The sequence below is a fragment of the Homo sapiens genome, chromosome 1, assembly GCF_000001405.40.
Source record: "Homo sapiens chromosome 1, GRCh38.p14 Primary Assembly".
Taxonomy (NCBI): domain Eukaryota; kingdom Metazoa; phylum Chordata; class Mammalia; order Primates; family Hominidae; genus Homo; species Homo sapiens.
In genome coordinates this window covers 201,777,639-201,804,295 of record NC_000001.11, presented here as the reverse complement: position 1 = coordinate 201,804,295, position 26,657 = coordinate 201,777,639, and the positions used below count along the sequence as shown (strand labels likewise).

General features: G+C 45.4%; 1 protein-coding gene and 1 long non-coding RNA gene across 10 annotated transcripts in view, besides 1 other annotated feature; one reads left to right on the top strand and one right to left on the bottom strand.

Annotated features, from left to right (window-relative positions):
- The window catches only part of NAV1 (neuron navigator 1), a 287,843-nt gene that overhangs the window by 22,674 nt on the left and 238,512 nt on the right, over positions 1-26,657 (bottom strand). For 4 of the 9 annotated variants that reach the window (NM_001389617.1, NM_020443.5, NM_001389611.1 and 1 more), the window contains 13 exons: positions 23,737-23,875; positions 22,987-23,284; positions 21,427-22,120; positions 20,444-20,890; positions 18,945-18,986; positions 17,719-17,867; positions 15,658-15,828; positions 14,504-14,556; positions 13,719-13,742; positions 13,530-13,607; positions 10,421-10,504; positions 9,719-9,830; positions 582-703 (listed from right to left, as the gene is read on the bottom strand). In NM_001389617.1, coding sequence (NP_001376546.1) covers positions 582-703; positions 9,719-9,830; positions 10,421-10,504; positions 13,530-13,607; positions 13,719-13,742; positions 14,504-14,556; positions 15,658-15,828; positions 17,719-17,867; positions 18,945-18,986; positions 20,444-20,890; positions 21,427-22,120; positions 22,987-23,284; positions 23,737-23,875 — 2,413 coding nt within the window. The remainder of the gene's footprint in view (positions 1-581; positions 704-9,718; positions 9,831-10,420; positions 10,505-13,529; positions 13,608-13,718; positions 13,743-14,503; positions 14,557-15,657; positions 15,829-17,718; positions 17,868-18,944; positions 18,987-20,443; positions 20,891-21,426; positions 22,121-22,986; positions 23,285-23,736; positions 23,876-26,657) is intronic. The other 5 variants (NM_001389616.1, NM_001389613.1, NM_001389615.1 and 2 more) reach the window with 3 other exon arrangements.
- The window catches only part of IPO9-AS1 (IPO9 antisense RNA 1), a 141,304-nt gene that overhangs the window by 25,264 nt on the left and 89,383 nt on the right, over positions 1-26,657 (top strand). The gene's annotated exons all lie outside the window — the stretch shown is intronic.
- Positions 15,732-16,232: an enhancer, noted in NCBI's record as "NANOG-H3K4me1 hESC enhancer chr1:201757192-201757692 (GRCh37/hg19 assembly coordinates)". NCBI's record gives its function as "activates a minimal SCP1, AML or CMV promoter by ChIP-STARR-seq in naive H9 embryonic stem cells {active_cell/tissue: H9 hESC(naive)}" and the evidence as "EXISTENCE:reporter gene assay evidence [ECO:0000049][PMID:30033119]".

Here is a 26,657-nt window from a genome sequence, read left to right as displayed (position 1 = left end):
GGCTGAGAGTGTCTAGACCTGCCTGAAGAATTTCAGAAAGGTCATACGAAGTCAGTTTAGGATTATGCAAGAGAAAAAAACCACACGTACAAAAATGACTTCTGGACCTACCAAAGGTAATAATAAAGAGTCCTTTGAAGTAATCTGGAAAGCTCCACAAAACATCCCCAAAAATTAAAGAAATGACCTCCAGGAGTCTAGAATGAACAGCTTTGTTCATAAAATCTCTCCATAGTATAGAAGGGAATGGGGGGTGGTGGGGACAGAACTGATAAGATGTTTCCTTCTGAGTATATCCTCAGCATCCTTCTGTTGCCAAATACATCTTGGCCTAACCAGTATGGAGAGCCCAAAGAAAGCAGATGCATATAAAGGTCAGAGGGGTGGCCTTGGGGACAAGTAGGAAATGATTGAGGGAAGGGAGAATCTGGGAGACCATGCTCTGAGCGGACATCACACTAGGGCTCAGTGTTAGACGGGACTACACCTTGGTTAATCCTGGAAGGATTCGATCCCTATGCTGAGGTGAAGGCGGTCCACCACGGTTCTACCTACTTCCCACCCCCCAAACCTTTACCTACCCAACTCTTTTTTTTCTTCTTTTTCGCATCAGCATCCTTGCTGCTGCCGATGCTGGAATGGCTAGTGATGCTGTTGAGGCTTGAGATGCTATCTGAGGAGTTTTGTCTCTTGATCCGAAGTTCTAGGGCCAAGTACAAGTGGGAAAAACATAGAACAGATTTAGAGAGGATGTGAGACTTCAGGCAAGTCTAGTGGCAGAAGATAAGAGAAAGGAGAACCAACCAACTCCTCAATCACATTATTCATTTTTTTGGATCATTCATTCAGCAAACATTTATTGAGTCCCAATCATGTTTCAACATAGAAAAAGTGCAAAAGGTAAGAATTAAATAAGAAATGATTCCTTTTCTCAAGAACCAGAAGTTAGCATGGAGTCATGGACTCAGCTTGAATCAGTCTAAGGACTTAACTAAAGCCAGCCCTCTACAGTTTTATGGAGATATCAACCTACCATTTTTCATGATTTTTCTAGCAATACTTAGCTATCTGGTGGTCCAAGGCCAAGAACTAGCCATATACTAGCCAAATACATCACTAGCCATGTACCCTGCATTCCACCTGAAAGAGCTTCAGTTTTCTCATCTGGTGGGTAGAAAATCTTTGCTTTCTGAGAAGGTTTGTGATGGCACAAAAAATAATCTTACTTTTCTACAACAGGGGAGGAAGGGGTTAACAAAGGAGATGTCTGAGTACTGAAAGAATAGAAATTTTTCAGATGGGAACTTTGGAAAACGTATTTAGGGTTGAAGAAAAGGTACATGCAAAGGCACTGTCCAGGGAACTGGCTTTGCTTTGAGGAACTGTGGGTAGTCTGGAATGGAAGCAGCAGAGGGCACATGTGGGGGTACAGAAAAAAGTGAGGGTGGAGATTAGGCTCAGGCCAGATCAGGCACAGCCCTCAATGTCTTTTTTCCTTTTTCTTTCTTTTTTTTTTTGAGATGGAGTCTTGCTCTGTCACCCAGGCTGGAGTGCAGTGGTGTGATCTCGGCTCATTGCAACCTCTGCTTCCTGGGTTCAAGCAGTTCTCTGCCTCAGCCTCCCAAGTAGCTGGGATTACAGGCACCCGCCACCAGGCCCACTAATTTTTTCGTATTTTTAGTAGAGACGGGGTTTCACCATGTTGACCAGGCTGGTCTTGAACTTCTGACCTCATGATCCACCCACCTCAGCCTCCCAAAGTGCTGGGATTACAGGCACGAGCCACTGCGCCCGGCCTCCTTTTTCTTTTCTTTCTTTCTTTTTTTTTTTTTTTTTTTAATGAGACAGGGTCTTGCTGTGTTGCCCAGGGTGGTCTTGAACTCCTGGGTTCAAGTGATCCTCTTGCCACGGCTTCCCAAAGTGCTGGGATTATAGGCATGAGCCAACATGCTCAGCCCCTCAATGTCTTTTTTTTTTTTTTTTTTTTTTTGAGAAGGTGTTTCACTCTTCTTGCGCAGGCTAGAGTGCGGTGGTGCGATCTTGGCTCACTGCAACCTCCGTCTCCTGGGTTCAAACGATTTTCCTGCCTCAGCTTCTCGAGTAGCTGAGATTACAGGCCCCTGCCACCACGCCCGGCTAATTTTTTTTTTTTTTTTTTTGAGACGGAGTCTCGCTCTGTCGCCCAGGCTGGAGTGCAGTGGCGGAATCTCGGCTCACTGCAAGCTCCGCCTCCCGGGTTCACGCCATTCTCCTGCCTCAGCCTCCCAAGTAGCTGGGACTACAGGCGCCCGCCACTACGCCCGGCTAATTTTTTGTATTTTTAGTAGAGACGGGGTTTCGCCATGTTGGCCAGGCTGGTCTCAAACTTCTGACCTCAGGTGATCCACTTGCCTCGGCCTCCCAAAGTGCTGGGATTACAGGGGTGAGCTACCGTGCTTGGCCCCCTCAATGTCTTTTAAATGAAATTTGCCTTTGTGCCATAGATAATGGAGAACGGAAATTCTGAAGCAAAGGCAAAATATTATCTGATTTTTAAAATCCTTTTTATTTTAAAATAATTATAGATTCATAGGAAGTTGCAAAGAAATGCACAGGGAGGTCCTCTGCACATTTCACTTAACCTCCTCCAATGCAAACATCTTGCCTAACTATGGTGCAATGTCAAAGATTTTTTAGGCTTGGCTCAGTGGCTCACAACTGTAACCCCAGCACCCAGGGATGCCAAGGCAGGACGATCACTTAAGCCCAGGAGTTTGAGACCAGCCTGGGCAACACAGTGAGGCCCTCATCTCTATTTAAAAAAATATTTTAAAAATAGAGCTTACTATGTTAACAATGAGAAAGATGAAATGGAGGGAAACTAAACTAGAGGAAGGGGAGTAGTAAAGTGGCTATTTGCAATTGTCCTCCTAGAAACAAAACCTGTTAGATGAAGGAGATGTGGGTAAGGTTTGGTTATTTTTCTCACTCTCACTATGACCAGAAATGGATCTTTTAAACTCTAATTTTCCCTTGATACTACAGGGAAAACAAGATCGTAGGATCTGATGCTATAACTACAAAGCTCATAAGGTATTTGGAAAACCCTTTGTACAACGATTATCATACCCAGTTAATGATACTACAGAGTACTTCAGTTATTTTAAAAGGCGTGGGAAATTCTCAAGAGGCTGGGTGTGGTGGCTCATGCCTGTAATCCCAGCACTTTGGGAGGCCAAGGCGGGAGGATGGCTTGAGCCAGCAGTTCAAGACCAACCTGGGCAACATAGTGAAACCCCATCTCTACAAATAATTACAAAATTAGCTGAGTGTGGTGGCACACGCCTGTGGTCCCAGCTACTTGGCTGGCTGAAGCAGGAGGATCGCTTGAACCCAGGAGGTGGAGGTTGTAGTGGGCTGAGATTGCATAACTACATTCCATCCAGGGCAACAGAATGAGAGCGAGACCCTGTCTAAAAAAAAAAAAAAAAAAAAAAAAGATACACCAAGTTGAAGTTAAAAAAAATCTTTATTTGTGTAAAAATGAATATACGTATCCATATATGTTTGTTTGTATATACACAGATATTTATTTCTGGCAAGATTAAAACTATTAGCAGTTCTTACCTCTGCGGATTGGGATTTGAAGGGGTGACTCAGGGAAAGGGATTTTATATTTCACCATATACCCTCTTATATAGTTTATCTCAGTGGTAGGAAAACATTTACTGTAAAGGGCCAGATAGTAAATATTTTATGCTTTGTGGCCATAGGGTCTTGGTCACAACTCCTCAGTTCTGCTGTTATAGCATGAAAGCAGCCACAGACATTATGTAAATTAATGAGTGTGGCTGTGTTTCCAATAAAACTTTATTTACAAACAGAGTGGTGAGCCAGACTTGGCTGATGGGCCATGATTTGCCCACCCCTAGTTTACATTCCCCCTCAGAACATGCATTGCTTTTATGATAAGAATTAGTTTAATTGAAACTAGTTAATTAAAAATAAAATAAAGGGGCTGGGTGTGGTGGCCCATGCCTGTAATTCCAGCACTCTGGGAGGCCCAGGTGGGTGGATTGCTTGAGTCCAGGAGTTTGAGACTAGCCTGGGCAACATAGCCAAACCCCATCTCTACTAAAAATACAAAAAGTTAGCTGGGCATGGTGGTGCGCACCTCTAATCACAGATACTCCGGAGGCTTAGGTGGGAAAATCATATGAGTCCCAGGGATCGAGGCTGCAGTGAGCTGCGATAGCACCACTGTGCTCCAGCCTGGGCAACAGAGTGATACCCTCTCTCAAAAAATAAATAAATAAATAAATAAAAATAAAAAATAAAAAATAAAGGGTAGCAAAGTATATGCATCCGTCTATCAGTTATTTGAAGGTTTCAATTAGTTGAGATATATCAGTTACATTTAAAAAATACACTATATAGTACTTTTTTTTTTTTTTTTGAGATGAAGTTTCACTCTTGTTGCCCAGGCTGGAGTGTAATGGCGCGATCTCGCCTCACTGCAACCTCTGCCTCCCAGGTTCAAGCAATTCTCCTGTCTCAGCCTCCTGAGTAGCTGGGATTACAGGCATCTGCCACCATGAACAGCTTATTTTTGTATTTTTAGTAGAGACAGGGTTTCACCATGTTGACCAGGCTGGTCTTGAACTTCTGACCTCAGGTGATTCACCCGCCATGGCCTCCCAAAGTGCTGGGATTATAGGCGTGAGCCACCGCACCTGACCCTATGTAGTACTTTTAAGAGCAAATGATACGTTGCAGAATCAAGCAATCTTCAAAAAGTTAAGAAACCTCTTGTGCATTTTGAATTTTGTACCATGTATATTTATTATCTATTTATAAATAAAATGAAATAAAATAAAATAAAGATAGGCATTATTGCCTAAGCATTGATTCTTTGAATGTTCCTAGAAATCCTCCTTGCCAAGTTAAGCCTGGATCAACATGAACTGAGGATAACATGAAAACTCATAGCAAAAAGCACAATTCATTCATTCAGCAAATATATGTTTGAAGAGCACATTACACACAGAAAAACCCATATGCCCTCCACCTAATTCAACAATTGTTAATATTTTGTTTTATTTGCTTTCTCTCTCTCTCTCCACACACACACACACACACAGTTTCTTGAACAATTTGAAAATAAGTTACAGAGAACACATCTGTTGACACTGAAGACTTCAGAGTATTCTTTCTTTTCTTTTTTCTTTTTTTCTTTTTTTTGAAGATGGATGTACTTTCTAAGAATAAGAACATTCTCCCACAGTACTATTATCACACCTAAGAAAATGAACAGTGGCTGGACACGGTGGCTCATGTCTATAATCCCAACACTTTGGGAGGCTGAGGTGGGTGGATCACCTGAGGCCAGCAGTTCGAGACAGCCTGGCCAACATGGTGAGACCCCATCTCTACTAAAAATACAAAAATTAGCCAGGCATGGTGGCACACACCTGTAGTCCCAGCTACTTGGCAGGCTGAGGCAGGAGAATCACTTGAACCCAGGAGGCAGAAGTTACAGTGAGCCAAGATTGTACCACTGCACTCCAGTCTGGGCAAGAGAGTGAGAATTCATCTCAAAAAAAAAAAAAAAAAAAAAAAAAGAGAGAGAAAATGAACAGTAATTCTTTTCATGTAATATCTAGTCCATATTCAAATTGGAATGATTTCTTTTTTTTTTTTTTTTTTTTGAAACCAGGTCTCTCTCTCACCCAGGCTGGAGTCAGTGCAACCACTGTGGCTCACTGCAGCTTCTACCTCCTGGGCTCAAGCAGTCCTCCAGACTCAGCCTCTGGAGTAACTAGGACTACAGGCTAATTTTTTAAGAATGAGGTCTCACTATGTTGCCCAGGCTTGTCTTGAACTCCTGGCCTAAAGTGAACCTCCCGTCTTGGCCTTCTGAAGTGCTGGGATTATAGCGTGGGCCGCTGTGCCTGGCCTGGAGTAATTTCTGATCTTAACTGATATAATTGGATTACTCTGGGGGCAAGGAAAGCACTGGAAGAACGAGCACAGCAAGACCAGTAAGGAAATTATTGAAATATTCTAGGAGAAGAATGATAAAAACCTGAGCCAGGGTAGTGACAATACAGAAGAGGGATAGAATTGAGATCTACGTAGGAGTTAGAACTAACTGACTATACAGGGTGAAACAGTGAGGAATCAAAGATGATTCTCGTATTAGAGGCTTGGGCAACCAGGCAAATGATAATACCTGAGATACGCAAACTGCAGAAGGGAAAAGGTTGGCTTGTGTGTTTGTTGTAAGTGGGGTGAAGGGGATGACTTTAATTTTGGACATATTAAGTTAGAGATATCTCTATGAGGTCAACTAAGTGGAAACATCCAAACGTGGTTGGAAGTAAAGGTCTGGAACTCAGGAGACTGATATGGATAGAAATACAGATTAAGAAGAGATTGTAAAACCAATTGAGCTGATAAGTGAGCCCAGCAAGTCTGCAGGATATAAGATCAATGTGCAAAAAATCAATTGTATTTTTATACACTAGTAATCTATAACTCAAAAGAGAAATTAAGAAAACAATTCAGTTTAGAACAGTATAAAAACTAAGTTTAACAAAATAAGTACAAGGTTCATATGCTGAAAAACTGCAAAATATCACTGAAAGAAATGAAAGAATATTTAGATAAAGGCATGCCTGTTCATGGATTGGAAGACTTAACATTGTTAAGAGGCAATACTCTCTAAATTGATATACAGATTCAATGCAATCCCTAGCAAAATTCAATCTGAGATTAACAAACGAATCCTGAAATTCACATGGAAATGCAAAGGACACAGAGTAGCCAAAACAACCTTGAAAAAGAACAAAGTTGGAGGACTCACACTTCCCAATTTCCAAACTTACTACAAAGCTACAGTAATCAAAACAATGTGGTACTGGCCAAGGATAGACATATAGAAGAATGGAATAGAACTGAAAGTCTAGAAAGAAACTCATATAGAAGAATGGAATAGAACTGAAAGTCTAGAATGAAACTCATATATGTATAGTCAATTGATTTCCTAGAGTGCCAAGACAATTCAGTGGGGGAAAAAATAGTCTTTTCAGCAAATGATGCTGGAACAACTGGATATTCTCATGTAAAAGAATGAAGTTAGACTGCCTACCTCATACCATGTACAAAAATTTACTAAAAATGGAACAAAGACCTAAAACTAAAAAAAAATTTAGAAGGAATTCCAGGAGTAAGTCTTCATGACCCTGGATTAGGCAATAATTTCTTAGATACAGCACCTAAAGCACAAGTAGCCAAAGGAAAAAACTAGATAAATGATGCCTCATGAAAATGGAAAACTTTTGTTCTTCAAAGAATATTTTCAAGAAAGCAAAACAGCAACCCATACAATGAGAGAAACTATTTTTCAAATCATGTGTCTGATAAGGGTCTAATATTCAGAATTATTAAAAAACTCTTAAAGCTCAACAACAAAAGACAAATAACCTGATTTTAAAAGTGGGCCAAGGATTTGAATACACATTTCTCCATAAAGACATACAAATAGCAAATAAGCACATGAAAAGATGCTTGGTATTAGCCATTAAGAATATGAAAATCAAAACCACAACGAGATACCACCTCACACCCACTAAGCTAGCTATTACAAAAAAGAGGTCAGTAAGTGTTAGCAAGAATGTGGAGCTATAAGGGCTGGGTGTGTGGCTCACGCCTGTAATCCCAGCACTTTGGGACGCCGAGGTGGGCGGATCACTGCAGGTCAGGAGTTCGAGACTAGCCTGGCCAACATGGTGAAACCCTGTCTCTACTAAAAATGCAAACAAATAATTAGCTGGGTGTGGTGGCGGGCACCTGTAATCCCAGCTTCTCAGGAGGCTGAGGCAGGAGAATTACTTGAACCTGGGAGGCGGAGGTTGCAGTGAGCCAAGATTGCACCATTGCACTCCAGCCTGGCCAACAGAGTGAGACTCCATCTCAAAAAAACAAAAACAAAGAATGTGGAGATATCGGCACCCTCATATGCTGCTGACAGGAATGTAAAATGGTGTAGCTGCTCTGGAAAACAGCTTGCCAATTCCTCAAAAAGTCAAACATAGAGTTACCATATGACCCAGCAATTCCACTTCTAGGTATATACCCCAGAGAACAAAAAACATATGTCCACACACAAACTTGTACATGAATGTTTATGGCAGCATTATTCATAATAGGCAAAAAGTGAAAACAACTCAATGCCTACCTATCAACTGATGAACAGCTAAACAAACTGTGGTATATCCACACAATGGAATATTATTCAGCCACAAAAAGGAATGAAGTGTGGATACATGACACAACATGGATGAGTCTTAAAAACACTTTGCTAACATGGTGAAACCCCATCTCTACTAAAAATACAAAAATTAGCCAGGCATGGTGGCATGCGCCTGTAGTCCCAGCTACTTAGGAGGCTGAGGCAGGAGAATTGCTTGAACCTGGGAGGCGGAGGCTGTGGTAAGCTGAGATCACGCCACTGCACTCCAGCCTGGGCAACAGAGTGAGACTCCGACTCAAAAAAAAAAAAAAAAAGGAAAATAAGTACTAAAAATTGTAAGTTGGATTTTGGAAAAATGGGAGTCACTGGTGACTGCAGTGAAAGTGTTTTTGGTAGAATGATGGTGACAGAAGCATAATTATAGTGGGGTTAGGTGTGAAAGGGAGGTGGAAATGTAGGATCGACTGGAGGAAGCAAAGAAATAAGATTATAGTTAGAACATAGATTGATACATCTTTCCCCTTTAACATACAAGAGCCTTTGGCAGGTTTATAAGCAGGGAAGGAATGAATAGAGCATAAGAGATTAGAGAGGTAGAAAAGGGCATGTGTTGGGTAAAGGGGGGTTGTATGGTTGCTAAAGAGGGCATCCCAAAACATTAGATAAGCGGTCACTCTTGGCCAGAAGGGATGAATCCTTCCAACAAAATGGAGACAAATAAATAAGTATTGGATGAATATAAACGCATGGAGTGGGGAAAAGTCAATGGAGTTCTCTCTTGAAAATGTTCATTTTCTTAACTAAGGGGGGCGCCAAAGCTATGTTCAGAGTAAGGCAAATCAGTGGTGGAATGAGGAGCTTGAAAAAAGCAATGAAAGCTGGGAATCACTGGTAGTGGAATAAAAAAGAAAACTGACTGTGGACAAGTAAGAGGACTGCCAAGGTATCTTGAAGACCTGACTGGAGTTAGAGATCACAGATTTTGTGGCATCAGACTCCCATCCATCTTGACTTCTGTAGCAAAGCTTGACTGGTTACTAAACGTCCAGGCTAACTTGCCATTTCAGCACCATATAACCTATGTGAGCTTTGGTTGTTTCATTGGAAGAGTAGTTGGAGAACTAAAGTGAGGATCAAATAAGATTGTTTGTGTGTGTGTGGACACACAACACATTTGCATAAAAATGTAAAGGGCTATTTTAACGATGGTCTTTGATGGCTCTTTGGCCGTGAGGTAAAGGTTAAGGAGAGGACCCCTGGGGCTTACAGGTCTCCTCTACTTGCCTTCATGCCCTAGGAAGCTGGGGTCATGCCCCTGGTACTCCTCACTGACCAGTCCAGACATCACACTAAAGGGTATCTAAAGGCCCTCACCTTCTAGAGACTTGATATAGGACTTGGAATACTATGGGCCCAGATAAAAATCTGTAATACTCTTACTTTCCTGCTCCCTGTTCCCTCTCAATCTGTGGCTGGATGTCCTACCTTTGGGTGTGGTTTCTGAGGCATTAAGGGCTCCCTGAATGACTGCCTGGGCCTCAGAGTTCTTTTTCTTCAGAAAGTCTATGGTTTCTCGCAAATCCAGCAGCTCAGTGTCCTAAGAGAGAAATGAAAATAGCGTTGGCTGGGCACGGTGGCTCACACCTATAATCCCAGCACTTTGGGAGGCCGAGGTGGGCGGATCACCTGAGGTCAGGAGTTCAAGACCAGCCTGGCCACCTGGTCTCCATTAAAAATACAAAAATTAGCTGGGCGTGGTGGCGGGCACCTGTAATCCCAGCTACTTGGGAGGCTGAAGCAGGAGAATCGCTTGAACCTGGGAGGCAGAGTTTGCAGTTAGCCAAGATCGCGCCAGTGCACTCCAGCCTGGGTGACAAGAACGAAACTCCATCTCAAAAAAAGAAAACAGCGTCATTAGTTGGGATTAGCAGGAGCCCTGAGCCCTTATGATGTGTCAGGCAATGGGCGAGGCATTGGAATTCTGCAAAACTTGATAGAGAAGGGCAAGGAATTGGGATAAGGAATATGCTCACACTGTATTGGGGGGCAGATTGAGAATCCAGGGTGACAGTGAGGTGGGGAGAAACTGGCATTCATGAGCAAGAACAGATGGTCAGCTTCGGCCTCTCTGTCCAGGAGAACCCCCTCGCCGCACCCACCCCTCCCACCCTTTCCCAGGCCTCTCACCTTCTCCTCGGCCGTCTCTGCCAGGTGTCGCAGGCGGGATGTCATATTCACCAGGCTCTGCTCAAAAGCAGCCACCAGATTAGCCTGAAACAAACACAGAAAGAGATTGCTAAGTTGCATAAGGCTGGGGGAAAGGCAATAACTGACAATGGGAAATAGTTTTAACTGATTTCCTGTATCTCGGAGCTGACCAATGCCAGCAAACCTCTTGGTGGTTAAAAAAATATTGATTTTCCTGAGCAGACAAAGGGGAAATCAAAGAAATTTTCTGGTGGGAACCAGCTTCTTGAATAATGAAGCCAGGTTGAGGGTAGGGCAGGTTTCCAGAGGCTCCTGGAGACTTGAGATCTAAAACCTATCAACTACCAGAGGTAGGACTATCCCTCTGCTCTATGTGATATTTGGTGTGGCCAACTTGGTAGGCGGGCCATAGCCTCTGGGGTCGTTCCTATTATTTTGGTTTAACTCCTGCATTGTGGAGTGGGCCGGCCCCCAAGGGACCAAATAATCTCCTGGCAGAAACTATTTGGTGCGTTTCTTCCTCCTCTGCTACTCCACTGCTTCACCCTTTCTTGCTTTGCAGCTGCTCCTTGTTCCCGGATTCTCCAGGTTTGCAAGGCTGGAAGGAAACTGCAGAGGCATTCCACCGTTTGGCCACTAGGTGTCAGGTCTGTTTCATGAGGAGTGAAGGATACCAAAGGGCTCTCTGGATAAGAGGCAGGCTAGTTCGGAAAGGTGCTCAGTGGAGGAGCTAAGGCCACTTGGTTTGGCATAGTTTGACCTCTAGCTGGCCAACTGGCTGCAAGATGTATAGGCAAGGTAAAGGGAATGAGGCCGGGGGCTAGAAAGGGGAGCACTTGGGGATGGAGAAATAGCCATCGTGAGACTATCTGAGCAAGTTGGTGACCCTAGCAAGAAGTGGGCATACTCTGCGCAGCTCCTTCATGCAGAGCTCTAGGAAATCGACGGCACTCTCATGGCTCCTACTGGCTTACAATTCTCCCTCCCTGTTGGGTCAACTCTAGTTTTCATCCACTGCTCCGCATGTCTGGAGCCTACTTCATAGGACCAGGGCTGGAGGCAATCCCTTTAGTCCAGTTAGAGCCTCCTCTTGCACTTTTACTATAAATCTGTCAAGGCCTGGGCTCTGAGGAGATTATAATATGTCACAACCTGAGCAGTTTCCTTTCACCCACTGTGCAGGCAACATCTGTCTTCTTGACCTCAGGTCTTCTCTGGTTTGCTTCTCTACATCCTGCATGTCTGCTTGTAGACTCCTTGTAGTCCCTGGAAGACTACTCATGAGAGGCCCCAAGAACCCCTGTATGCTCTTCTGTGCTGCCTTTCCCCATCCAGGGGAACCCTTTTGCTCTGGCTGGGCTTTCTCCCCGCTCTCCCCTACACTTCCTCTCCCTACATTGACCCTTCCCTTAATCCCAACCCCAGACTAGGGTACCTGTAAGACCTCAGGGCTAAGCAGTGGTGCTGCAGAAAGGCTAGCATTTGAGAGGGGTAAAGTGGTCTGGGCCCCTACATCTAGGGTGTGCCCTCAGCTTTAGTGGCTAGGAAGTTCCATGGAACATGACAAAAGTTTGGTTTGGAGTCACGGAATCCTGAAGAGAGCTGTGGAACCTTCCTAGAGTCCCAGCATCCCATCTCCTGCTTGAGGGCAGGGTTCTGACCCTCGGCAAAAATCTGCCTTTAAGATGCAGAACCCACCGTGTCTGGGTGTTTAGTTTGTTCTCTCTTAGCCAAATGGAACTTCCTGTTCTAAGAAAAATCACCCTCTAAATTCAATTTCTTGGCTTCAGCCCAGCCTTGACAGCATGGTGGCTGACAGATTGCAGTGTAAATGAATCAGACATAATAATGTTCTCTGCCTCCCTGGCGCCTCTCCCCCCCAGCATCTCCCAGACATGAATTTCCTGGGGTGTGCAGGACGTGACCCAGGCCATTTGCTTTGGTGGGTGTGGCACAAGGGAGAGAAAAGATGGTTCTTGTTTATGTTACAATTCTTATGGGTCCCCCAAGAGTGGGAAAAAGTGCTTAACATGAGCTTCAAACAAACTGGTACAACTTATGAATTGAGGGTTTGGGAAAAGAGAATCGAGAGAATAACTAGTGTGGTGAGGGAACTGCTGCTGAAATGTGTTGGAAACATTCAGAATCTTGGTGGAGATTCTTCTACCTAATTCCGACGGATAGACCCCAGGCCTGACAGCTGGGTTCCCCAGAGAGGAAGGGCAGAGAGAAAACCAGAAACTACTGCGGAAATTGCAGACATGGTTACTTTTGTGCAAACACTTGGAAAGCTCCTGCAGATCCGGCTCAGCTGTTGTTTACAGCTTTGGGGGAAAATGGCTCTTATGTTCTCTGTTTGCAACTCAGTCACAGGGGAGAAAGTACCACAGCCTGGTTAGAGGAGGTGGCTTCATTTCTCCCCATGTCACAGGGTAGAAAAACTAAGGTCTAAAGAAATAGACTCGTTCTAAATGGAGGTACTGAGAGTAGAAACAAAGAATTCTAGCTCTCAACCTGAATTTCAGATTGTTTCTACCATCTGCCCAAGGAGACTGCTCAGAAAAGGCAGTTGGGAATGAAGGAGTCAGACCAGAATGGGAGTTAGGTTTCTCAGTAGTGTCGTGGTCACTAGACAGAATTCTAATGACCAATCATGTGCCTGCACAGTTACGTGGCATGAACAAAGACATGAACACCCCCCAGGGCAGTGGAAAGGCTCTAAGAGCCCTATAATTATAATCCATAACTGCTTTTGTCCATGGCCAATGGCAAGGTTGTTTCTGCCTCCATGCAGAACCACTGGTAATCAATCTTCTTCTCTTTCTCTAGGGAGCTCAGCCCATCAGACATGAACTCATCCATACCTATTAATTAGAGTAGAAGCAAAATGGTTCTTCATAAAAGTTGAGGCTCAGAGAAGGGGAAGAACAATCCCCTCGTCTTCTATCATAGAGCTGTGAAGAAGACGCATGCCCTTGACGTCTCAGTCCAGGGGATACCTTACCAGGTAGTTTTCCTCCCTTGGCTGAACTTGTCTAACGATAGTCAAAATAACTGCCTTGATCTTTCCGTACTTCATGGCACTCACATTGGCAGAAAGCTGAGACGTCAAGGTGGCCACTTTTTCCTGGGATGATTCCAGTTCCCTACGAAGCTTCCGGATTTGCTGTAAAAGGAAGAGAAATACAAACTACTGGCTGCAGAAGCTGTATAAGATTTGGAAGGAAAATGAGGTGCAGTGATGTTAACAAGCAGAGACAAAGGCTTTCCACCCTACCTCAGATTGCATCCTCTCCTCAGCCTGAAGAAGGGAGCACAGAAGGAGAGAAAGAGAGAGAAAGGAAGTAGTTACTATGGAGGTGAAGAAGTCAGGTCCCAGTGGCAGGGTAGGAAATGTGAAGAAGCATGACTCAGAGGTGCAGAGAGGCTGAAACTCTTGTTTCCTGGCCCTGGCTCCTCACAGGACTCGGCTCAGATCTATACTAGGGTTTCAATAAAAGATTTCTTTGGAGCTCATCTCCAGCAAACTTTGTCATTGCCAAAAAGGCTAGGAAATGAGACTTTGGTTGGTTTGAGAACTAACGGTTATTGCCAGCAACTTGGAGTAAAGAATTAGGAGCAAAACAAATCTACAAATCAAGAAATGCCTAATAGCCAAATGCTGTGGCTGGTGCCCCACAATAAACACTTGGTCACTTCTAGGGTTCTGGAGTCCGGGTCCTAGAAATCTATTCATCTCACCTTCATAAAAGCTTCCCATCTACCATGGCACAGAAAGGGCTTGCTAACATGGGGATTCTCCATTTTTCAAAGGAGGGGAACAAAAATCACCAGAGTTGCTCAGGAGCTGGTGGTGGGGCCAGAAAGACCACTGAGGACCTGAGGCACCCAAGTGAATGCTACAAGCTCTAGGTGCCTCCCCCATTCCCACCCCAATGGGTACAGTGAAGAGCCAGCAGTGCCCCCATCCCCCGCCCAGTTACCCAACTCCAAGGAGGTTCTAGGGAGCATGGGATGGTAGAGGGGAGGGGATGAGAGGGGAAGAGAAGTTAATGCTCTTACTGAGGAGTAGGTGGAGGAGGCACTGGAGGCCAGGGACAGCACTGAGCCGTGAACTGAAAGAGAAGGAGAACACAAAGAGTTAACAGTGGGTTCCAGGGACAAGGGGTTTTTGGAAGACTCCCTAAGGCAGGAGTTTGGATTGTGATTCTGGAGGGCATCTGGAGCAAACAGAAAGAACAGAGTAGGGAACCCAGCTGGTATCAAAACAGCCCAAAGCAAGGTCTTGAGTCAAGCTAGCCTCCTCTTTCAGCCTACATTCTCTGGCAGCCTGGGTATGGCAGTCCCTTGCTTAGCCCGCTCTGAGGGGCACGGGGTTTCAGAGAAGGGAAAGGAGACTTTCATGGATAGTCATCATCTTATCTTCCCAGTCAGGAAAGCACCTTAGCCGCAGGAGAGGGGAGTTTCTCATCAGAGTTGCTCAGAACAAATACTGAAATTCTGCCCGCGCCTCCTCCTCTCAGCACTGGGGGATGTGCTTAGGATCTTGGGGATCATTCAGATGAAAACAATATTTAAGTGAGGAATATGCATTCTGATTATTCAGTAGAACCTATGGTGAGAACTAAAGCATGTCTGTAGCAGATGCCTCCTGGAATGACCATCTTGAAAATAATAATGGGAGAGCTAACCTGCCATAAGCCTGGTCTTCTAGCTCTGATCAGTACTAACACCCAGATCACCACCAACAATCAGATGGCCCTCCCTGATGCTCATCTTTGGAACATTTTTGAAAGAGAAATGAGATGCCTAATTATTTGTAAGGATTTATTAAGAGCTACTATTATGTCCTGTTTTCTTTTCATATATTTGAGAGACTGTGGGGAGGAAAGACTATGGCTAGAATGAGGAGGAGAGAAGCTGTGGTTTTCAGAGCATCCTGAGGGATGCCATTTAACCCTTCCATGCTCAATTTCCCTCCCCCAGCCCCAGTGATGGATGCTCCATCCCAATGCCCCAGTGCTAGATGTGCCACCCAAGGTTTCTGGGTCCCCAGACCCTTCAAAGGGATGGGGAGAAAAAACTGAAATGGCCCAACTTGATGTTCTGTGAATCATATATGTGTGTGGTGGTAGGAGTGGTGGGAGTGGAGGTGGTGGGTGAGGGGACCCAGCAGAGCTGGAATGAGCGTGAACCGCGCTAGCATGAAGTCTCACCATCGTCCGTGGGGTCTCGGAAGGATCCTGACCGAATCATTCCCTTGGGTCTCTCGGCCAGGGACAGGGTGCTCCCCATTTGGGAGCCGCTGTACAGCTCGAAGGCCGCCTCGTGGGTGGGGATGCTGTTGGAGCGGGTGATTCTTGGCGTGGTGGCCGCAGTGGGACTCACTGGAAGGACAGAGGGAAGGGGGACAGGAGAGGGAGCAGGAGGGCAGGAAAAGAGGCAGGGTCATCAGCTCTCCGGGCCCTTGGGGGATGGAGCACCGGGAGCATGAGAGGCAAATGGGGAGAGGGCAGGAGAGGAAGGGGCAGGTGCGGTGGTGGGAGTGTGCAAGCAGCTGGTGGTTAGGAGCGGGGTCCCTCCTGGGGAGATCAAGCCCTAATGGAGAAGGACCCTGCTGTCTGGAATAAAGACCTTCCCTCAACCCTGCCTGCCTCAGAGTTGTTGCTTTTGAAGGTTAGGCTGGGGGCCTGGCAGCTTTTCTGAGACCTTCACATCACTCGGATGTGCTGATGAAAATGAGATGCTGTGGTTCTCTAAAACACAACTGCCAGCTCAGGAGGACTGAAAATTCAAACCAAGACCCAGATCTGAATGATGAAAAAGCACCAGCTAGAGAAGGGGGCTGGGCTACGGGATCCCGTTGCCCTGGCATTGTGGAAGGGCGTGAGAATCTCCCCACAAAGTAGTGTCACTCTGAGTGACTGGGTTGGCGCTAAAGCATCAAGAAACATGGCCCTCTTTGCCTAGCATTGCCCCGGCTTGAAGGTCAGATGGACAGAGCAGGTGAAAGTGTCAGGTAAGGCTTGTGGAATGTGCTTTGAAGCTGGGTTCAGCTGAATCCCGTTAACCTGCAGATGCCTTACCCCTTTGCCCATTGCTGGGATTACAGCCTTTCAGGGTTTCATACCCACAAGGAGCTCCCTTGTCTATTCTTCTGCCTCCATACAGGCAGGTGGATGTCTAATCTGTCCATAAAGACCTGTGCAGAAGAAGATGGCACACCTCTCTGTTGACCTTTTCAAATTCCTGAGGTAATTATTGCTTAGCCCAGCCCCTCATTCTGCAGCATAAATGCAATTCTTCTTATTTGGTCTTCAATGGAGATAGAGAACAAGCTGGCCCCATCCTCCATTTAGTAGCCCTTCAGAGGGCAGATGATCCTGTCTGAACAATGGTTCTTTTCCCTAGGCCAAGTGATCCCAATTCCTAGTCTTTCCTCAAATTCCCCACAGTCACTGCATGGGTGTGTTACAGGTCCTTGTCTTTTATTAACTGATTTCTTTTACTCAGCTGAAAGAAGAGATGGATTTAAAGAGATGCAGCAAGCAGATAACAGGCCTATCCCAGGCACTATTCCTGAATGGATTCCTAGTAGGCCAATCATGGCGTACTGCTTCACAGAACCGGAGCTGGTGTGCTTCTGTGCTAGGCCAGACCCTCCACCTGATGCTTCCTCTCCTCCCTGTCTCTAAGTCACTTCCTTATTTCCTAGCTCTCCTTTCTCCCTAGGCTTTAGGAAGGGGGTGGCCAGGACACATCTGAGTCAGCCCTGCCTTCAGCGTTAGGATGGCCTGGGCTCAGCCAGAGCAGTTGAGGAATCTGGACTTGGCTGAGTTTGGAGGCAGATCTCGTCCTTGGCAATCAACAACCTTTCCCTCCTTCCTCCCCGTCGGCCTGACATTTCAGTATTGCCCTCTCATTAGCTGGCCCTAGTAGTACTGGGTGTGGTGGCTCCTTTCCGGCAGTTCAATGTGCCTGCTCTTGCACTGGTCTGATCTCTGGGCTTTGGGTTACAGCTTTTCCATGCCACCATTCAGGCTCTCTGATGCTAAAAGGACCCTACAACTTGTGCCTAGGGGCAACTTTTCAGTTTAGGATCTCAAAGTACTCTACCTTCAATCTTACTTTGGGTGGATAAACTGAGGCACCATGAAACAACCCAATACAGCATGAGTCAAACATGAGATGAAACCCAAAGCCCACCTGCCTTGCCTCACCCTGCAGGGTGACCCCTGCTTCACCCCATGCCACAGTGAGTGACTGAAAACACTAACCTATGTTGGTAAGTTGGCCCTTTGCACTCAGAGACATGGGAAGTGCAGGGGGAGAAGGCAGCTCTGACTGGTCATCGGATTCAGGCAGCCCACCAATGGTATGGGAATGTCGCCTCTCCTTGGTCTCCTCCTGGGACTGAAGCTGGTACCTGTAGGAAGCAGCAGAAGAACTCAGTCTGGGACTAGCAAGTGCGGTCAGAGGTTTAGTTGGTGCGGAGGGTGTCTGAACTAGGCTGGAGCCAGGAGATTCTGAAAGCAGGACATGGAAAAGAGGGAGTGGTCAGGGCTGCCCAAGGAGGGAGTAAGAGGTGGCGACTCAGCCTCCTCTCCCAGACCATCCAGAGGGTGTGGAAGGACTAGCAGGTATTCCCGTAAGGGTTCCTGAGCTGGGGGCAGAAGTGATGGAGGAGGCATTAGAACTTCTCCTCAGAAGTTCAGGACAGAGACTTATGATTCCACATGTGGGCTTTCAAGTTGCAAGAGTCGGTCAGGCACAGTGGCTCATGCCTGTAATCCCAGCACTTTGGGAGGCTGAGGTGGGTGGATCACTTGAGGTCAGGAGTTTGAGACCAGCCTGGCCAACATGGTGAAACCCCATCTCTACTAAAAATACAAAATTTAGCCAGGCTTGGTGGTGCACACCTATAACCCCAGCTACTCGGGAGGCTGAGGCAGGAGAATCGCTTGAATCTGGGAGGTGGAGGTTGCAGTGAGCTGAGATTGTGCCACTGCACTCCAGCCTGGGTGACAGAGCGAGACTCCGTCTCAAAAAAAAAAAAAAAAAAAAAAGTTGCAATAGTTGCCACCCAACTGAACAACTCAGTGCTGTCAGAACAGTGGATGACCAGGTAGGTCCTGCCCCTAGCCCAGCTGAGTGACCAAAGAAGCAGACTGTTCTCCCTCATACTTTTAGGGAAGAAAATTACAGAGATGAAGCTCAGCCAGGATTGGGATGGCATAGGCTAGTACAGGTAAGTGCATGATTCCCATGTGCAAACTTGTTTCTCCCCTGTCACCAAAAAAAGAACACTTGCTGTAAAAGTTGACTCACATAATATTAAGCTTGGGCAAGGTACTAGGTGGTACTTGTATGGGACCACATACAAATGATTCAGCTAAAAGGGTGACTAAATTCATGACTGGAGCCTTGGACAGGTTGAGATATGATTTTTCATACATACCAGCAGTCCCATTTATAGGGAAGAAAAAACACATTAAAGGGTTACCTGAGCCCTTTCTTGGGAAGAGTGTTCCGATCCCGCTGATTACTGTGGAGATAAAAAAAAAAAAAAAAAGAGAGAGAGAGAGAAGCATGTGGGTCCATCTTAGGAACTAGAGTTTAGGACCATTGGTGTGAGGTATGCAGACCCTAGACGCAGGACATCAAACTATGACCTGCTTTAGCTCTAGAAACCAAGAGATACTATAGCCTGCTTCTTGGCTTACAACTTGGGAAATTTATCTGAAATATTAAATGTTATTTCTCTGATTAGAAATTAAGTCATGGTTAGGCCGGGCGCCGTAGCTCACGCCTGTAATCCCAGCACTTTGGCAGGCCAAGGCGGGTGGATCACGAGGTCGGGAGATCGAGACCATCCTGGCTAACACGGTGAAACCTCGTCTCTACTAAAAATACAAAAAATTAGCCAGACGCAGTGGTGGGCGCCTGTAGTCCCCAGCTACTCGGGAGGCTGAGGCAGGAGAATGGCATGAACCCAGGAGGTGGAACTTGCAAGTGAGCCAAGATCGCGCCACTGCACTCCAGCCTGGGCGACAGAGCAAGACTCCGTCTCAAAACAACAACAACAACAACAAAAAACAAACAAACAAAAAAGAAATTAAGGCATAGTTAGTTATTTAAAAGATCATATTATGGCACTAGGGACAGTGGCATGAGCCTGTAGTTGCAGCTCCCGGGAGGCTGAGGCAGGAGGATTGCTTAAGCCAAGGAGTTTTGAGTCCAGTCTGGGCAACATAGTGAGACCCCATCTCAAAAAAAAAAAAAAAATAGATCGTATTATGGTAGGTAAAAACTACCATATAGGTAGTTTGATAACCTTGGCATATAGGGGGAAGGGAGGGGAAAACTAGGATGTGATATAAAAGAAAAGATTCTGGGCAGCCAGGTGTGGTGGCTCATGCCTGTAATCCCAGCACTTTGGGAAGCTGATGTAGGCAGATCACTTGAGGTCAGGAGTTCAAGACCAGCCTGGCCAACATGGTGAAACCTGGTCTCTACTAAAAATACAAAAATTAGCCGTGCATGGTGGCAAGTGCCTGTAATCCCAGCTACTTAGCAGGCTGAAGCAGGAGAACTGCTTGAACCTGGGAGGCAGAGATTGCAGTGAGCCAAGACTGCACCACTGCACTCCAGCCTGGGCAACAAGAGCAAAACTCCATCTCAAACAAAACAAAACAAAATGATTTTGGACTAGGAAGCAAAAGCTCTGGATGATAGGTTAACCTAATTATGAGATCTTGGATGAGTCATTTAACTTCTTTGTGCACAAGTTTCTTCATTTTTAATATAAGAATAATAATTTAAAAACAAAAACACATCTTACCTATCTCATGGAGTTGTTGTGAAGCAAATTAAATTACTTAATATATGTGAAAAAATGTCAAAAGTCACAAAATGGCAATAAAATATAGGATAGTATTGCCAATGGCAAAATGAGCCCAAGACACGGAGACAGGCCGAGGTTCTGCTGTCTTTTCTACCTACCTGTCCAGTTGCCCAGCTCTGGGGCTTCCACTCCAAGTCAGCTCTTCCGTCTCTTCTTCTGTGGGAGCAGCAGGGGGAGCAGGTGGGGTGGGGACGGGAGTACTGCTGGGGAAGGCACTGGGGAGGCTCATTGGCATCTGGAGGGACTCCATGCTCCTGTGCAGGCCTGAGAGTTTGGGGTACATGCGGGTCTCTTTTGGCACACTGAAACCACTCATTAGCTCCAGGCCCTGGGAGAAGCTGGCTGAGTTAATATTGAGGATGGGTGCCGGACTGGGGGTGAAGCAGGAAGGGAGAGGGCCCCCAGATGCTGAGCTTGTAGCATGCAGATCTGGGACCTTTGAAGCATGGGTGGTATCACTGGATGATGGTAGATCCAGACTGTTGGAGTTGACCTTGTCAAGATTGGCTAGTGAGGGTGGTTTGACAAAGCTCTTCGCTGTGGCCCTGAGAGAAGATCAAACGAAATATTTAGAATAATAGAATTACAGAGTGAGAGGCAGATAGGACCTTAAAGAAATCCTATCCAGTCTTGTTTTCTGCCTATTTGCTAAGCACAGAGGCTTATCCTAATGCTGTTGTGAAATACAATGCAAGGAAATCTGATACCCAACTTGGGGCACATTCAGCTTAGATAAGGGGCCAGCATATGCACATGGGAGATACAAGTGAATTTATGCAAATAGGTATATATGTGTAAATAAACAGTAAAAACACCCATACAAGTGCTGAAGACAGGGTAAGCATTGATCAGAGAATAGTACAAATGAGGTAAGTTTTGAAAGAGGGATTCAGTCTTTCAGAACTGTCAGAAACTAGATTCTTTCAGAACCTTGGCATATGGGGGAGAGGTGGGAAAGAGCCATGCAAAGGCCTAGAGACAACGGTGGATAGGCCATGCCTCATCTAGTCCAAGGAGGGCAGAGATATGCGAAAGAATGACAAAGCAAACAGACAAGGAGGCGGCTGCCCACATTGGGTACCTGAGAGGGGTTGGTGGCAGCTCTGCCAGCTTGGTGGCTGTGGGGTGGCTTGCTTGGTTCTTGGGAGTACTTTCTGGGGAGCCAATACTCTTCAAGGAGATGTTGTCTGAGTCCAAGGCCACTGCCTTGGCTTTGGCCTTCTCCTTTTCCCGATCTGTCTGATTGACAGGGGCTGGAGTGGTCCGCCCACTGGCTACCTTGGTAGGCTCCTTCAGTCTGGAAGGCGTAAGGCCTCCCTGCTTGGTGCTGAGGAGACTGGGGTCAATGCTGCTGCTCACAGGGCGAGGTCCACCCCGCCCGCCGGTCACGCTCATAGAACTTGACTTGGCTGGCCGGGGCAGGCTGCGGTACTGGATGTTAGAACGGGCTCCAGGAGCCAGGAATCCTGGCTCTGCACTGTTGGAAACATCTAAGCTAGTCTTGCGCCCATTTACTGGCTTGACAGGGATGCCTGAGGACTTCTGGATCTTGCTGAGAGTGGCTGAACCACCAGTTTGCATGACAGTGGCTGTGCCTGTGGCAGGAGGAGGCTTCTTGTAGCCAAAGGATCCCGAAGTGGAGGGGCGAGCAATGCCCGAGGGGGGCTTCTTAGCATCACTCAGGCGGTCCCGACCAGCATCAGAGGAGGAGCGTTGGAGCCCAGTATTCTTCACTGCAAGCTTACCCTTGTCTGTAGCTTTGCCCTCAGGTTTGCCTGCAAGAGGACGGGAAATGAGAAAAGAGCTGAAACTGACCAGTATCTTAAAAACCCACCCTTTTCTTTCCCTCCATGGGAGAAGGGAACATTGTCCATGTATTGTAGACTTTTAGAGGCCTAAATTTGGGTAAACAGGTACAAGATAAGCTGATAAAGTTTCTTGTCTGAAAGACTCTGGCTGGGAGGGGTGGGGAGGCTAGGAATTTTTTTTGTTTTGCTCCCAGAGTAGAATGGTCCATTTTGATTAAAAAGGCAGAGGCAAACACAAAGATGATCAAGAATATCCATCTAACAACTAGTTGTGGAAGGGAAAAAAAAGGTGGGGAAGCAAATGGAATAGAGTATGACAATATCTCTTAGTAATTAGAGACTACAGGAAAATGTTGATTAAGGCTAAAAGTTACCCAAGGGGCCAACTTTGGGGGCACTATAATTCTCTTGCTGTAGCCATTTTATTTATTGTTTTCTTAGGATCTTCCTGAGATGTCAAGCTGTATCCTATGAAAATAAGTGCCTTGAGTGACTAACTTGGGAGAAAGAAGAAAGCAAGCATTGGAAGTGTTTGGAAGGAGGCCAAACTAGTCTCTAAACATAATATACTTCCTCCTGTACCTCATATTAACTGGGATTTTGGCCCAGCCACTTAATCTCTTTGAGTTTCTATTTCCTCCACATTTGTAAAATGGAAATAATAACACCCATCTTTCCTAACTCACGGGACTGTCCTTAGACCAGATAAGATAATGTCTGTTAAAGCACTATGCAAATGTTTGCTATCATCCTATGGGTTAATGACCACTAAGAAGAGGAGCAACCAAAGAACTAGGTCTTTGCCCTTGTACCTTCCTTTATTCCAGGCTCACCTGCGACTTTGAGGGCACTCTGGGCTGTGTGAGTGATGGGGGAAGTTACAGCCACAGGTGGGGTCTTGCCCTTCTTCAGGGAACCAGGGTGGCCCAGGCTGATGGGCTTTTTCAGTTCTCCACCCTTGGATGAATCATCACAGCTCTCAGGCCGCTCCCTCCGCCACTTAGAAGTCCCAGGTTCCATCTTCAGGCTACCACTGTCGTACTCCAGTTTTTTAGGGGCTTTCTCCTCTGATTCACTAAACCAGCTCAGCCCACTTTCTGCCAGTGAGCGCTTCTCTGAGTCTGTGCGTAGCTAAAGAAAAGAGAAAAAGGCAGAGTGAGATACTTCTATGCAGATGGGAGACTGGATAGCTGACAGGATTGATTTTAGTTAGTACCTGGCGCTGCTCATCTCAGAGTATTAAGTCAAACTGAGGGTTTCTACCTATACCCCTAGGGTTTCCAACAGCAGATGACATATATCTCGGGGTTTCTTTTTCTCCAGTTGGAATAGCTCTTACATGTATCACTCTAGATTGGTGTAGGCACTAAGTATACACAATATGACAACATCTAATGTCTTGGGTGAGTAGCCTTAGCTTTTTTTGGGAGGGGGTGGGGGCAACTCTAAAATGACCTGGCCAAAGGCCTATGAGAACCAATCCCATGGAGTGGGTGTGTACGTGCAACCCCATACACAGATAATGCCATTTGCCCTGTGGTTCATCTTGAGATGGCAGCTTGGGTGTTTGCAAACTCACGTACCACTATTGTTGAGTTCCTGCGAGAAGCAGTGGGAGTACTTGGGAGGGAGTTGAGTGAGGAGCTGGCATTGAATTCTTCTGAACTGAGATTGTCTGAGGCATCGCTGAGTCCACTACTGATGGAGCTGCTTTCATCCCAGCTACAGGACAGGAGAGATGAAGGTCAATCGTTAAAACAGAAGCCCAGGCAAAAAATAAATGTTTCACATTGATGCAAGAATGGCTCTGCACCAGTATATAGGCTAGCCAAAAGGAGAAAACCTGGGGGTTTGTCCTAGGTTTGTCAGCAACTCAAAGTGTGACTTAAACTTCCTTGTAATTTGGTGATGTTCTTTTACAAAAGGAAGAGACTCTGCCTTTATCTGGCAAGAGAAAACGTTGTATCTTCTTAACAGAAAGGTATTTTATAAAGGCAAGGTAATTTTTGGATCAATCTAATTATACAAACCAATTTACTCTCCCTGTAAACAACCTCCATTCTTAAAATTAACATATCTTTGTTCATTTTTAGACGCGTTCTGCATCTATTCTCCCCCTCCTTTTCTAAAAATGTCTATAACTGGTAATGAGGCCCAGAAAAAGATTTCTCTTTTCTAGAACCTCTTAGACTTTTATCATTTCTCATTGAGCCTCCGTTTATGCAGTTCACCCTATCCTGGGATCGGGTCCTGCTTCTAAACAGAACATACTGTTCTTCTGTTAAGTGAACCAAATCTAAGGTGCTGTGGCCATGTAGAGGGGCCAAATTTGTGCTGAATGGATTCATTTCTCTGCCAATTGCTTGGAATATCAGGTCTGTGGTATTAGGGAGATACTGCTGTTAAACATCTTTATCTGTAAACATCTGTATCCAAAAACGCTACTTCATGCACTAAGTGAACTTACTACAACCTCCATATCTTTGTAGCTTGAGCTCTACAAACATTCATTTGGCTGTTCTTTTTTTTTTTTTTTTTTTTTTTGAGACGGAGTCCTGCTCTGTTGCCCCAGGCTGGAATGCAGTGGCACAATTACAGCTCCCTGCAACCTCCGCCTCCCAGGTTCAAGCAATTCTCCTGCTTCAGCCTCTCAAGAAGCTGGGATTACAGGCACCCGCCACGACACCCAGCTACTATTTTTTTTTTTTTTTTAAGTAGAGACAGGGTTTCACCATGTTGGCCAGGCTGGTCTTGAACCCCTGACCTCAAGTGATCTGCCCGCCTCAGCCTCCCAAAGTGCTGGGATTATAGGCGTGAGCCACCGTGCCTGGCCTGGCTGTTCATTTTTGGGTTTAACAAGTTTCAGTCAGAAAGTTTACCCTTAGCCTCAAAACTAGCCTCCTCTACCATTTATATTAATTTCCTCTTATTCTATCTTTGCTATTCACATTTCTTTTCGATCACATGCATTGTTTTCTAAGCTCGAATTCTGTCTCCTGTAAGCTTTCTTCAAAGGTCCTGTTTTCCAAGTCTTTCTCAATTCCTTTTGGACCTTAAAAAGTTCTTCAGATTTCACTCAAGTTTTACAGCCTAAAACTGAACACGGAAGTTCAGTAAGACTGCTATACATGAGTATTTGTTTGTGCCGGTAGGAATTAACTTCTAAATCCTTGTTATCTGTGTGCAGAGTAGGTTTGTTTATCAGCATTGCATATATGCAAGGACTAAAAGGCTGAAGATTTTTTTGTGTGAATTAGCTGCTATCTGAAAAAATTTTTCTTTTTGATTTATTCTGAGTTTCATATCATGGAACAAAAATCAGACATGCAAGTCATCTAAGTGGTTGGCCCAGATCTCAGCTGGCTCCCTCTAATTCATGTGCTGGGAATAGGAAAGTGGGTGGTTTGGACATTTTGGCTTTGTTGCTCTGTAGTGATTTATCCAAATACATTGAGAAAGAGCAAAGAAAGCATGGGGATTAGAACACACTACAGAGTTCTTTAAATTTTATGACTATGAAATATAGCCGTTATTGAATGACAATCAACCTCTTCCCCTCTTCTCCTCCTGATGTATATTAAACCTCACATTTGTCCTGGGCTAAGATGTCATACCCCCTCACTTTGTAGAGAAAGAATACTGAGGAAAGATCAATGCTGGTTTTATGATCCTATCAGCTCTTCCAGGTCAAGATAAGATCTTTGGCAAGCAAGCAAACAAACTATTCTCAGCATGTTCTCTAAGTCAAAGACAGAGGAAGCCTGTAGCACTGAATATTTCATCTGAGATTAATTATTGGTAATCAAGGTCGTGAGGCAAAGAAAGCTCTTATGGAAGGACCCTCGCAAAAAGAGGATTGCTGCAGCTCAGAAATCCAAAAGAAACCTTCCTTTGCCCCACATTTATGGAAAGTTTAATACTGAAATGGAGGAGAGGGATTTATCTTCTAGGAGAGCGTTTGGGTCCTCCTTGCTCAAAAGACATTCCTTCCCAAGCTCTTTTCCTGCAGTGAGGAAGTATAAGCCTAGAATTACCAAGGAAGGTTGGCTAGAGGATATAAATACTTCCTAGCAAAATTCTTTTGCAAGTTCTGAAGAAAAGGAAAATTCTGTTGTCATTACATGAGAGTTAAGCATCTCCACTGGAGATGCTCCACTGAAGAGAGCATAGTTTCTTTCTTTCTTTTTCTTCCTCTCTCTCTCTCTTTCTTTCTTTCCTCTCACTGTGTCACCCAGGCTGGAAGGCAGTGGCATAATCTCAGCTCATTGCAGCCTTCGCCTCCCAGGTTCAATTGATTCTTGTGCCTCAGCCTCCCAAGTAGCTGGGATTACAGGTATGCAATTTTTGTATTTTTAGTAGACACGGTGTTTCACCATGTTGGCCAGGCAGGTCTCCAACTCCTGGCCTCAAGTGATCCACCCACCTTGGCCTCCCAAAGTGCTGGGATTATAGGTGTGAGCCACCGCACCCAGCCCTCTTTCTTTAAACAACAACAACAACAACA